Source organism: Homo sapiens, chromosome Y (genome assembly GCF_000001405.40).
Source record: "Homo sapiens chromosome Y, GRCh38.p14 Primary Assembly".
In the NCBI taxonomy this organism is placed as follows: Eukaryota; Metazoa; Chordata; class Mammalia; order Primates; family Hominidae; genus Homo; species Homo sapiens.
The window spans coordinates 460,642-473,722 of NC_000024.10; the positions used below are offsets into that span (position 1 = coordinate 460,642).

At 50.3% G+C, this 13,081-nt stretch overlaps 1 long non-coding RNA gene across 1 annotated transcript in view; it reads left to right on the forward strand.

Moving 5' to 3' along the window:
* LOC102724521 (uncharacterized) overlaps positions 1-12,115 on the forward strand; it is a 42,736-nt gene extending 30,621 nt beyond the window's left edge. Inside the window, exons 8-10 of the long non-coding RNA XR_001756015.2 lie at positions 8,899-9,019; positions 10,071-10,269; positions 10,876-12,115. This is a non-coding gene — a long non-coding RNA (uncharacterized LOC102724521). The remainder of the gene's footprint in view (positions 1-8,898; positions 9,020-10,070; positions 10,270-10,875) is intronic.
* Positions 12,116-13,081: the final 966 nt, after the last annotated feature.

The following is a 13,081-nucleotide window of genomic DNA, read 5'->3' on the forward strand; positions in this document are numbered from 1 at the left end:
TGAGAGCCGTGCCAGGGCTGAGCCACGCTTCAGGAGAGACCAGCTATGTCTCTCTCTGTGTTGGGAGCCGTTGGGTAAAGCGGGGACTTCTGGGTGAGCCAACATTACAGACTTATATGGGAATTTAAGGCTCGGTTAAATATGCCCCTCAAAAAAGTTTCCTGACTTTTTTTTGATACGCCAGTTTCATTATCAGGGGGCTCATCAGCCGGGGACGCGGTGCAGGACGGATGGAAGCCGTGGGCCGTGTCAACTCTACAGGGCTGTATTTCTTTTTTTTTTTCGTGCTCATTACGATTCTTGGATGTGTGTAATTTACATCTAAATGCACTGACTAATTTTGATCCAATCATGTCAAAAATGATAGGTACTGTGTGGGAGGAGATGACAGCCGTACCAGCGCGCGTTGCCAGAGTGAGAGTCCCTCGGGGCAATGATTTAATGCCCCCAGTCAGCCGGGCCTGTCAGCTTCGGAGGCCAAATTATGACACATCATGTCGACGACCGGTCCACACGGAGGCTGCGGTGGGGGGAGCCCTGGTTCACCCAGCACCGTCCTGGCCGACCCCCGGCCCCGGCTGCCGCCCCGTGCCCCGTCACACACGCAAGATGCAGAGTGGGGAGAAATGATGCGCTAACCCCCCTGTAAAAGAGTCATTTGCATCTGTATTTTTTACTCCAGCAAGGGCATGTCAGGTGTTTGCGGGAAGGGCAGGCTGGACGGCCTCCATGCAGCGTGAGCGTGTCCGCGTGTGTGTGTGCACGTGTGTCCACATGTGTGTGTGGTGTCTGCGTGCCTCTGTGTGTGTCCGTGTGTGCGCACGCGCCCGTGTGTGTGCATCTGTGTGTGGCGTCAGCATGTGTCTATGTGTGTCCATGTGTGTATGTATGTGTGCATGCATGCACCTGTATGTGTGTCTGTGTGCATGCATGTGAGTGTATGTGTGTGTGTCTGAGTGTGAGCGTGCCTATGCACGTGTGTGTGTGCATGTTTCTGTGTGTGCATACGCCCATGTGTGTCTGTGTGCATGCGTGTGTGTGTATGTTAGTGTGAGGGTGGACGTGTGCCTATGCACCTATGTGTGTATGTGTTTCTGCATGTCTGTGCATGCATGCACCTGTATGCGTGTCTGAGTGCATGCGTGGGAGTGTATGTGCGTGTCTCAGTGTGGGCATGCCTATGCACATATGTGTGCACATGTTTCTGTGTGCATATGCTTGCATGTGTGTGTGCATGCATGTGAGTGGATGTGTGTGTGAGTGTGGGCATGCCTATGCACGTGTGTGTGTGCATGTTTCTGTGTGTCTGTATACGCCTGTGTCTTGAGTGTGTGAATGTGCCTATGGACATGTGTATACATGTTTCTGCATGTCTGTGCATGCATATGCCTGTGTGTCTCTGTGTGCATGCGTGTGAGTGTGTGTGTATGTTAGTGTGAGGGTGGACGTGTGCCTATGCACCTATGTGTGTATGTGTTTCTGCATGTCTGTGCATGCATGCACCTGTATGCGTGTCTGAGTGCATGCGTGGGAGTGTATGTGCGTGTCTCAGTGTGGACATGCCTATGCACATATGTGTGCACATGTTTCTGTGTGCATATGCTTGCATGTGTGTGTGCGTGCATGTGAGTGGATGTGTGTGTGAGTGTGGGCATGCCTATGCACGTGTGTGTGTGCATGTTTCTGTGTGTCTGCGTATACGCCTGTGTCTTGAGTGTGTGAATGTGCCTATGGACATGTGTGTACATGTTTCTGCATGTCTGTGCATGCATATGCCTGTGTGTCTCTGTGTGTATGCGTGTGAGTGGCATTCATGTGTGTGTATTTGCGTGAGGTGGGCATGCCTATGCACGTATATGTGTACATGTTTCTGTATGTCTGTGCATGCATATGCCTGTATATGTGTCTGTGTGCACATGTGTTCATATATGTGTGTCTGTGTGAGTGTACATATGCCTATGTACGTACGTGTGTACGTTTCTGTGTATCTGTGTGTCTGTGCGTGCATCTGCCTGTATATGTGTGTGTGTGTGCAAATGTGTCTGTATGTGTGTGTCTGTGTGAATGTGGGTGTGCCTTGTACGTATGTGTGTACATGTTTCTGTGTATCTGTGTACCTGTGTGTGCATTCGCCTGCATGTCTGTGTGTGTGCATGCATGTCAGTGAACGTTGGCGGCCTCTCCTCAGAGCCCCTCTTGCCTGAAGGAAGTGCCACCTCCAGCCCCCCTTTGCTTTGTTTTGCGTCTCGGGAGTGACGTCACTGTCGGCTCCGCAGGATCCTCCCATCCTTGTTCGTCCTGGGCTTGCGGGATGAGTCTGTCAGGAGCAGACACGCCGTGGTGGGCCGTGCACACGTTTGCACCTGCTCTCAGAAGTCCTTTCCCCGAGGAGGAGGCTCTGTTGGAGAGAGAGACCCTTGGGCACCTGTGGGCCCTCACTGCTCTCTTCTGAGACTGTGGTACCGGCCATCTCCAGCCCTGGCCCTGGCCCGGTGACTTCCCCAGGGCACCCCAGGGATGTGCCAAAGGAGGACTCCCCGGGGAGGGTGGGTGAGGTGCGTGCCCGCCGTGCCGAGACGCTCCTGAAGGCAGAGGCTGCTCAGGAAAGTCGGCTGCTTCCTAATCTCCGTCCGTGCTCACGCAAAGTCCTCGGTCGCCGTCTGCCACACGCTTATTTTATTTGGCAGAAGTTACAGCTCAGGCAATTTCGTTAGGAAACCTGTTGGGGTTTCTTGGTTCTATGCAGGATGGCTGGTGCTTTAGGAGGAGGTGGGGATTAGAAAGAGTCTTGAGGCCGGACGTGGTGGCTCACGCCTGCAATCCCAGCACTTTGGGAGGCTGAGGCGGGTGGATCACGAGGTCAGCAGTTCGAGACCAGCCTGACCAACATGGTGAAACCCCATCTCTACTAAAAATACAAAAAAATCAGCCAGGTATGGTGGTGGGCACCTGTAGTTCCAGCTAGTCGGGAGGCTGAGGCAGGAGAATCACTTAAACCTGGGAGGTGGAGGTTGCAGTGAGCCGAGATCGCACCAATGTACTCCAGCCTGGGTGACAGTGTGAGACTCCATCTCAAAAAAAAAAAAAAAGTTAGCCAGGCGTGGTGGCAGGTGCCTGTAATCCCAGCTGCTTGAGATGCTGAGGCAGGAGAATCACTTAAACCCGGGAGGTGGAGGTTGCAGTGAGCCAAGATCATGCCATTGCACTCCAGCCTGGGTGACAAAAGTGAGACTACGGCTCAAAAAAAGAAAAAAAAATACAAATAGTAGCCAAGCCTGGTGGTGAACACCTGGAACCCTGGCTACTTCGGAGGCTGAGGCGGGAGAATCGTTTGAACCCGGGAGGCGGAGGTTGCAGCGAGCTGAGGTCGCGCCTGGGAGGCAGAGGTTGCAAGATTCTGTCTCGGAAAAAAAAAAAAGAAAATATGATCCATCTGTAACATTGAATGCTACACAGCCATGAAAAAGAATCAAATCATGTCCTTTGCAGAAATACGGATGCAGCTGGAGGCGCTTCTTCTTCTTCTTTTTTTTTTTTTTTTTTAGACGGATTCTCACTCTGTCGCCCAGGCTGGAGTGCAGTGGCGCGGTCTCGGCTCACTGCAAGCTCCGCCTCCTTGGTTCACGCCATTCTCTTGCCTCAGTGGAGGCCCACATAAGAGGGAGCTAAAATTGGGTACAAATAGTCATAGAAATGGGAACAATAGATGCTGGCGTCTGCTAGACGGGGGAGGGAAGGATGGAGGCAAAGGCGGAAAAATCATACGTTGGGTCCCATGCTCAGTACTTGGATGGCACAATCCTTCATGCCCCAAACTTCAGCATCACACATTATACTCAAGCAACAAATGTGCACATGAGCCTCCTGAATCCGAAATAAAAGTTGCCATGATTTAAAAAAGAAATAAAGATGATGATTGAAATATGTGTTTTTATTTTTTGAGACAGAGTCTCGCTGTGTCACCCAGGCTGGAGTGCAGTGGCGTGATCTCAGCTCACTGCAACCTCCACCTCCTGGGTTCAAGCAATTCTCCTGCCTCAGCCTCCCGAGTAGCTGGGAAGACAGGCGCCTGCCACCATGCCTGACTAATTTTTGTATTTTTAGTAGAGACGGGGTTTCTCCATATTGGCCAGGCTGGTCTCGAACTCCCGACCTCAGGTGATCCACCTGCCTTGGCCTCCCAAACTGCTGGGATTACAGGTGGGAGCCACTGCGCGCAGCATTTGTCTGTTGTTTATAAGTTGCCACATCTGACATTTGGTGGTGTTGGATTTTCTCTGAAGGTCTTTTTTTTTGAGATGGAGTCTTGCTCTGTCGCCCAGGCTGGAGTGCAGTGGTGCAATCTCGGCTCACTGCAACCTCCGCCTCCTGAGTTCAAGTGATTCTCCTGCCTCAGCCTCCCGAGTAGCTGGGATTGCAGGCACCCACCACCACGCCTGCCTAATTTTTGTGTTTTTAGTAGAGACAGGGTTTCACCATGTTGGCCAGGATGGTCTCAAACTCCTGACCTGGTGATCCGCCTGCCTTGGCCTCCCAAAGTGCTGGGATTACAGGCATGAGCCTCCACACCTGGCCTTTTTTTTTTTCTGAGACTGAGTCTTACTCTGTCGCCCAGGCTGGAGTGCAATGGCACGATCTCGGCTCACCGCAACCTCCACCTCCTGGATTCAAGCGATTCTCCTGCCTCAGCCTCCCGAGCAGCTGGGATGACAGGCCCCCGCCACCACACCTGCCTAATTTTTTTTTGTATTTTCAGTAGAGGTGGGGTTTCACCATGTGAGTCAGGCTGGTCTCCAACTCCTGACCTCAAGTGATCCTCCCGCCTCGGCCTCCCAAAGTGCTGGGATCGCGGACGTGAGCCACCACACCGGCCAACATTCACGCGATTTTCAGAATTAGCAGCCACCCGTCTGGGTCCCCACAGTGTTTGGGGAAAGGGATTTGGGGGTGTGGTACGCCCTGTGTTCCCCGGCGGGCAGCTGGGGCCGGACTCCCTTGCCGACATCCTGTGTGTTCTCTGCATCTCGAAGTTGTCACGAACTCTCATGGCAACCCCCTTCTCGTGCTATGGGTTCCGTTTAGCCTCCCTCAGAATTAGCTAAAAACCCACCGGCTTGATTTCTGGCATTTGCAACGGCCGCGCTCAGGAAACCTCCTGCCTCCTGAAAATGCTCATGCTGGCGGAACGGGAAGGCAAATAGGAATCCGTGGATGATAAATGGGCGTTTTAAGCAGCAGTTTACTTAATATCCCTATTAAACGAGACTCTTTGCATTAATCACTTCATTCTCCAGCAGTCTATAAGGCCCTTTAATTGCTTCTTAAATGAGGACTGAGTTTCCGTCCAAACTCAATCTTGGATGGGGAGAGAGAGATGCTAGCCAGGGCTCAGCTGCCCGGCTGCCAAGAACTGTCAGAATTGATCACGTATGTGTTCACGTTTCCTACAGTCTCATTGGAGTTCTCTGAGATTGACAGGAGAAAGTATCACATACTTTGTGTGTGTGTGTGTGTGTGTGTGTCTGTGTGTGTCAGAGACAGAGGGACACAGAGGCCGGGAGCAGGGGTGTGTAAGTGTGAGGTTCTGAACGCAAAGACAGGCCGTTCTGCTCACAATCCACAGGCCAGCGACCTTGTGGACCATTGCATTATGTATTAGCAATATTTATTTTCATTTTATGATTTTATTTATTTGAGACAGCTTCTTGGTCTGTCGCCCATGCTGGAGGGCAGTGGTGCAATCATAGCTCACTGCAGCCTTGATCTTCCAGGCTCAAGAAATCTTCCCTCCTCAGCCTCCCAACTAGCTGGGACTACAGGTGCATGCCACCATGCCTGTCTATTTTTTTTTTTTTGGAGGCAGGGTCAGTCACCCAGGCTGGAGAGCAGCGGTGTGATCTTGGCTTACCACAACCTCCGCCTCCCAGGTTCAAGCGATTCTCCTGTGTCAGCCTCCCGAGTAGCTGGGATGACAGGCACCCGCCACCACGTCTGGCTAATTTTTGTATTTTCAGTAGAGACAGGGTTTCACCAAGCTGGCCACGCTGGACTCGAACTCCTGACCTCAGGTGATCCACCTGCCTCGGCCTCCCAAAGTGCTGGGATTATAGGCGTGAGCCACCACGCCGGGCCCATACCTGGCTATATATATATATATATATATATATATATATATATATATATTTTAATGTTTTGTAGAGATGGGGGTCTCACTATATTGCAAACCAGGCTGGTCTCAAACCCTTGGGCTCAAGTGATCCTCCCACATCAGCCTCCCAAAGTGCTGGGATTATATATTTATCTACTTTTGAGATGGAGTCTCGCGCTGTCGCCCAGGCTGGAGTGCAGTGGCATGAGCTCGGCTCACCGCAAACTCCGCCTCCCGGGTTCAAGCGATCCTCCTGCCTCAGCCTCCCGAGGAGCTGGGATTACAGGCGCCCGCCACCACGCCCGGCTAATTTTGTATTTTTAGTAGAGACGGGGTTTCTCCATGTTGGTCAGGCTGGTCTCGAACTCCTGATCTCATGATCCACCCACCTCAGCCTCCCGAAGTGCTGGGATGAGAGGTGTGAGCCACCGCACCTGGCTACTTTTGTATTTTGAGTAGAGATGGAATTTCACCATGTTGGTCTGGCTGGTCTCGAACTCCTGACCTCTAGTGATCCACCTGCCTTGGCCTCCCAAACTGCTGGGATGACAGGCATGAGCCACCGTGCCCTGCCTGGGATTATTATCACAAATAACACCTATTCATTTTTACAAACCATATTTATGTAGTTATTCAAACCTAGGGCTAAAAATGATGTGGCTGCTGGGGTGACCTTTGGGGTAGGATCGGGAATTGGGGTGTAGCCCTCCTCCAGGCTCCATAGACCTCAGCCCCCCCAAGTTCTGTTTCTGACTTGTTCATGCTCAGAAAGTTGTCAGGGACGGCCTGGGTTTCTTTCCCACCTTCCTTGTTTGGGAGGAAGGTTCTGGAATCCTTTTTTTTTTTTTTTTTAGATGGAATTTTGCTCTTGTTGCCCAGGCTGGAGTGCAATGGTGCCAACTCAGCTCACTCCAACCTCCACCTCCCGGGTTCAAGCCATTCTCCTGCCTCAGCCTCCCGAGTAGCTGGAATTACAGGCATGAGCCACCACACCCGGCTAATGTTTGTATTTTTAGTAGAGACGGGATTTCACCACGTTGGCCAGGCTGGTCTCGAACTCGCGACCTCAGGTGATCTTCCCGCCTCGGTCTCCCAAAGTGTTGGGGTTACAGGCGTGAGCCTCCGCGCCCAGCCGGGTTCTGGAATCTTGAAGCTCCCCAGACACCAAGGCTGGATGGAAAGTTAGGCCATCAGAAAGCAAATGGGGAGAGGCTCGTGGGAATAGCGTGGGCCTCATGTAGTGTTTTGCTTTATGTGAAATGGGGCAGCAAAAAACAGCTGTTCCCTCCACCCCCCAGGCTGGAAAATTTATCTCCAGTATTCATTCTGGTAAATGAATGCCTGTGTGTTAGTAAGAGGGGAAGGAGCTGCTAGTCCTTGAGGTCAGCTGAAACCTCCTTCAGAGCCTCCAGCCTGGCCTTGAGACCGGCTCACCACATGTGAGCAGCCAGGAGCCCCGCCAAGACCTGCTGTTGCCCCTCCTTCCTGCCCTGCCCCAGTGCCGGGGTCCTGTGGATGTAGATTTTTTCTTTTTTTTTTTTTGAGATGGAGTTTCGCTCTTGTCCCTTAGGCTGGACAGCAATGGCGCGATCTCTGCTCACCACAACCTCCGCCTCCCAGGTTCAAGCCATTCTCCTGCCTCAGCCTCCGGAGTAGCTGGGATTACAGGCACCCGCCACCACTTGTAAATTTTGTATTTTTAGTAGAGATGGGGTTTCACCCTGTTGGCCAGGCTGGTCTCGAACTCCTGACCTCAGGTGATCCACCTGCCTTGGCCTCCCAAAGTGCTGGGATTACAGGCGTGAGCCGCTGTGCCGGGCCTGTTGATTCTTATCTGGCTTTCATGGGACCACAGGGGCTCCTGAAAGTGTGAAACAGAGAATTTCCATAGAACCCAGTAATACCCCAGCTAAGTATGTACCTAAAAGAATAGAAAGGAGGGGCCGGGAACAGTGACTCACGCCTGTAATCCCAGCACTTTGGGAGGCCGAGGCAGGTGGATCACCTCAGGTCGGGAGTTGGAGACCAGCCTGACCAACATGGAGAAACCCCGTCTCTACTAAACATACAAAATTAGCCAAGGGCGTGGAGGTGCCTGCCTGTAATTTCAGCTACTGAGGAGGCTGAGGCAAGAGAATCCCTTGAACCCGGGAGGCGGACGTTGTGGTGAGCCGAGATGGCGCCATTTCACTCCATCCTGGGCAACAAGAGTGAAACTCCGTCTCAAAAAAAAGAAAGAGGGACTGGAAGAGATATCTGCTCGCTCACGTTTGTAGGAGCACACACATGGAAACCATCCAGGTGTCCCTCAGTGGATGAATCGATAAACAAACAGTGGTTCACTCACTTTGTGCCCACCCAGTGGAGTACTATACAGCCATGAAAAAGAATGAGGCTGTGACCTAGGCTGCAACGTGGATACACCCTGAAGAAGTCACACTCAGCGATATTTCCTTTGGCTTATTGTACAATCCCCTTACGTCAACTGTCCGGAAGCGGCCAATGCACAGAGAGAGAGCTCAGATGAGTGGTTGCCACAGGCTGTGGGGAGGGAATGAGGAGGAACTGCTTCCTGGGGAGGGGGTCTCCTTTTATGGGGAGAAGGATGTTCTGGAAGTAGACAGAGGGGGTGGTTACACGGCGCAGTGATGTTCTCAATGCCACTGAGATTTTCACGGCGGTTAAAGTGGTGAGTTTTATGTTGTGAAATTTATGGTGAATTTCATATAATACGTTTTATGTCATTGCAGTGAAAAACAACACAATCCCGGCCCTCCTACGGCCCCCGCCTTCCCTCTGTGTCTGCGGTCTGTACCCTACGAACGCCTAGGACGCTAGACGGGATCCCTCCCCACGGAGCTATATAGGAAGGTGAACCCAGTCTGGGGTTCCTGAGCTGCTACGGCTCACTGCTTCCTTTCGGAAATTGGTGTATTGTCTTTGGAAAATGACTTCACACAAACCTGCTCACAGATATACCCGGTCCCAGATATGCCTAAGTGAGCGGAGACTACCGTGTCCTGAAACAGCATCTTCTCTTTTAAAAAATGTTGTGTTTTTTGTTTTGTCTTTTTTCTTTTTTTTGAGATAGGATCTCACTGTGTTGCCCAGGCTGGAGTGCAACAGTGTAATCATAGCTCACTGCAGCCTCAACTTCCCAGGCTCAAGCGATCCTCCTGCCTCAGCCTCCCAAGGAGCTGGGATTACATGTGTGCACCACCATGCCTGGCTAATTTTTTGATCTTTTGTATAGATGAGACCTCACTATGTTGCCCAGGCTGGAGTGCATCAGTGTAATCATAGCTCACTGCAGCCTCAACTTCCCAGGCTCAAGCGATCCTCCTGCCTCAGCCTCCCAAGTAGCTGGGACTACATGTGTGCGCCACCACGCCCGGCTAAGTTTTTGATCTTTTGTGGAGATCAGGCCTCACTATGTTGCCCAGGCTGGAGTGCAGTGGTGTAATCATAGCTCACTGCAGCCTCAACTTCCCAGGCTCAAGCGATCCTCCCACCTCAGCCTTCTAAGTATGTGGGATTACAGACATGCACCATCACGCCCAGCTAAGTTTTTGATTTCTTTTGGTACATACAGGGTCTCACTATGTTGCCCAGGCTGGTCTTGAATTCCTGGGCTCAAGTGATCCTCACTCCTCGGCCTCCCAAAGTGCTGAGATTACAGGCGTGAGCCACCATGCCTGGCCTCTTTTTTTGTTTTTGAGACAAGGTCTGAAATAACAACTATCTGTAAAAAAAAAAATATATATATATATATGGTTTTAATGTTATATATATAAGGTTTTAATGTTATATATAAATGTTTTATATTTATATATGACATATATAACATTTTAATGCTATATACATATAATGTTTTAATGTTATATATACATACAAATATATAAATATATATATTTTTAAACAGGGTCTTGCTCTGTCACCTGGGCTGGAGTACCCTGGTGTGATCACAGCTCACGGTTGCTTCGACCTCCTGGTCTCCAGCGATCCTCCTGTCTCAGCCTCCCCAAAATGCTGGGATTACAGGTGTGAGCCGCCGCTCCTGGCCAGCACCTTCTCTTATGCGGTACCTGGAAAGTCCCACATCATGCGAACGTCTCCACCAGGTACCCGGGAGGTGGCATTCGGGGAATGAGGGGGACCAGGGCTCAGAGCATCCCCAAAGTGGCTTCCTTGCCTCATAGGGTCACCCCCTTAGCCCAGAGCTGGAGGTGAGTGGGGGCGTGAAAGAGGCATCTTCCCTTCCAGAGGGCGGCAGTGGGGTTGAATGGATAACTTTAATCCTGACACACGTATTTCAGAAGACCTACCGCCAACTTTCCAGCTATGGGCAGCAGGTGTGATGAACACACGGGCCCCGGTGAGGGCTGAATGGGCCCAGATGGCAGGGGCAGAGAGGTTTGCATTCATTTTAATGTTCTCAGAAACTAGGATAAGCACTGGCAGCGGATGGAATGAGGAGAGCTGCATATTCGGTGAACTGTGTTGAAAGCACAGGGTTTTCACGGAAAATAAATAATGTCCAATGCAGCTAAAATACCGTGCGCCACCCGTAAGCCGGCGTTTATCCAGAGCTCCGAGTGTCTGTGAGATTTTAAGGAAAAGAAAGGAAGCTGGAAAAAAAAATAATAATCCAAATGAATCACAGACCAACGATCCCTAAAAGGTTTGCTTTAATAATTTTTTTTTTTTTTTTTTTGTGGCTGTGGAAGATGACTCGGATTCAAAATAATGAGGATGTTTATGTCTGCAGTCTGTTCCTCTCTTGAAGATTCAATTCTAAATAATGCAGGTCTCCTAAATGCTAGCAAATAGTGTCATACACTCCTTTTCACAAAATAGCTTTGACTTTGGGGAAGGCAACTATCATTAACTGGGCACCGGCACCTTTAAGCAAAGGTTTCCTGGAATAACAGTCAGCTAAGGAAATATAATGAGAGCTATTTCTTGCCCTTCCTGCTCGAAACCGTTGGCTGGAACTCAGCCTGCCCCTCAGCTGAAGCACGTCTGGTTTAAATTCATACGGCATAGATTTACAATTTTTAAACGACTGGATATGTATTTTTTTTTTTCTACGCTGTTTGCAGACCTGGTGGACACCTGTTGTTTCTGGTTAGGAAAGGAGGAGATAATTGGATACCAGAGAGAGCCTGACTTCTTGAGCCACCATTTAACCGGCTGATTTCAGCAATAAATTGGAGGGGGGCGGGGATGGGGAAAAAATAACACCCAAGAAACATTCAGACAGATTTGCAACCACAAAGTCTGTCTCCTTTATTATTTTAATTTTATTATTATTATTACTTTTGCTTTGTTTAACATAAAAACGATCTAGGCGAGTCCTTCTGGGCTGATGTGTATGTGCTTTTTCCTGCCTGGCTATCCTGTAGCTTTATCTAAGGCAAATCGGAGTACGTGTAAATAAATTAGTTCAACCATTGTGGAAGACAGCGTGGCGATTCCTCAAGGATGTAGAACTAGAAATACCGTTTGACCCAGCCATCCCGTTACTGGGTATATACCCAAAGGATTATAAATCACTCTACCATAAAGACACATGCACACGTATGTTTATTGAGGCACTGTTCACAACAGCAAAGACTTGGAACCAACCCAAATGCCCATCAATGATAGACTGGATACAGAGAATGTGGCACACAGACACCATGGAATACTATGCAGCCACGAAAAAGGATGGGTTCATGTCCTTTGCAGGGACATGGATGAAGCTGGAAACCATCATTCTCAGCAAACTCGCACAGGAACAGAAAACCACACACCGCATGTTCTCACTCCTAAGTGGGAGCTGAACGATGAGAACACAGGGACGCAGGGAGGGGAACATCACACACCGGGGCCTGTCAGTGGGTTGCGGGCCAAGGAGTGGGATTGCATTAGGATGCTATCCTAATGCTAACAAATATCTAATCCATCCAGGGCTTAACACCTAGATAAGGGACCTCCTCTGAATAATTAATATACTCCTGGTGATAGATGATCCGCACGGTCTGGATATTAGGTTATCAATCACGACCCACTTGTTTTAACGTAATCCTATTGAACACGTGTCAGGAGCTGTTTACCCAGAGGTGACAGCTACACAGCACCCCCATTTCCAGCCAGAAAATCGTACCATTTCCTTTCCTTCGACTGCCGCTTCCCGACCCCTTTCCCCGTTTCCGGCCAGAAAATCGTACCATTTCCTTTCCTTAACCTGCCGCTTCCTGACACTTTCCCCCCAGTGTTTTAGTACAGATGGAGTTTCACCATGTTGGCCAGGCTGGTCTTCGATGGGTGACTTCAGGTGATCCGCCTGCTTCAGCCTCCCAAAGTGCTGGGATGACAGGCGTGAGCCACTGTGCCCGGCCTCCAGTGTTTTTCAAATTGTGGTAAAACGCACATAACACAAAGTCTAGAGCATTAACCATGTATTTTGTTTTAAGACAGAGTTTCACTCTTGTCGCCCAGGTTGGAGTGCAATGGCATGATCTCGGCTCACTGCAAACTCTGCCTCTTGGGTTCAAGCGATTCTCCTGCCTCAGTCTCCCGAGTAGCTGAGATTACAGGCGCCCGCCACCACGCCCGGCTAATTTTTTGTATTTTTAGTAGAGACCGGGTTTCCCCATGTTGGTGAGGCTGGTCTTGAACTCCTGACCTCAGGTGATCCACCTGCCTCAGCCTCCCAAAGTGCTGGGATGACAGGCGTGAGCCACCGTGCCCGGCCGGCATTCACCGTGTGTAAATGTACACAGCAGTTTGAACTGCAGTTGGCTTCTGCAGCCATCACCACCATCCGTATCTCCAGAAGTTTCTCATCTTCCCAAACAGAAACCCTGTTCCCCTTACACACTCACTCCCTTTCCCCGGCTGCCATCAACCTCCTCTCCATCTCCATGACTCTGAGGACTCCAGGGACCT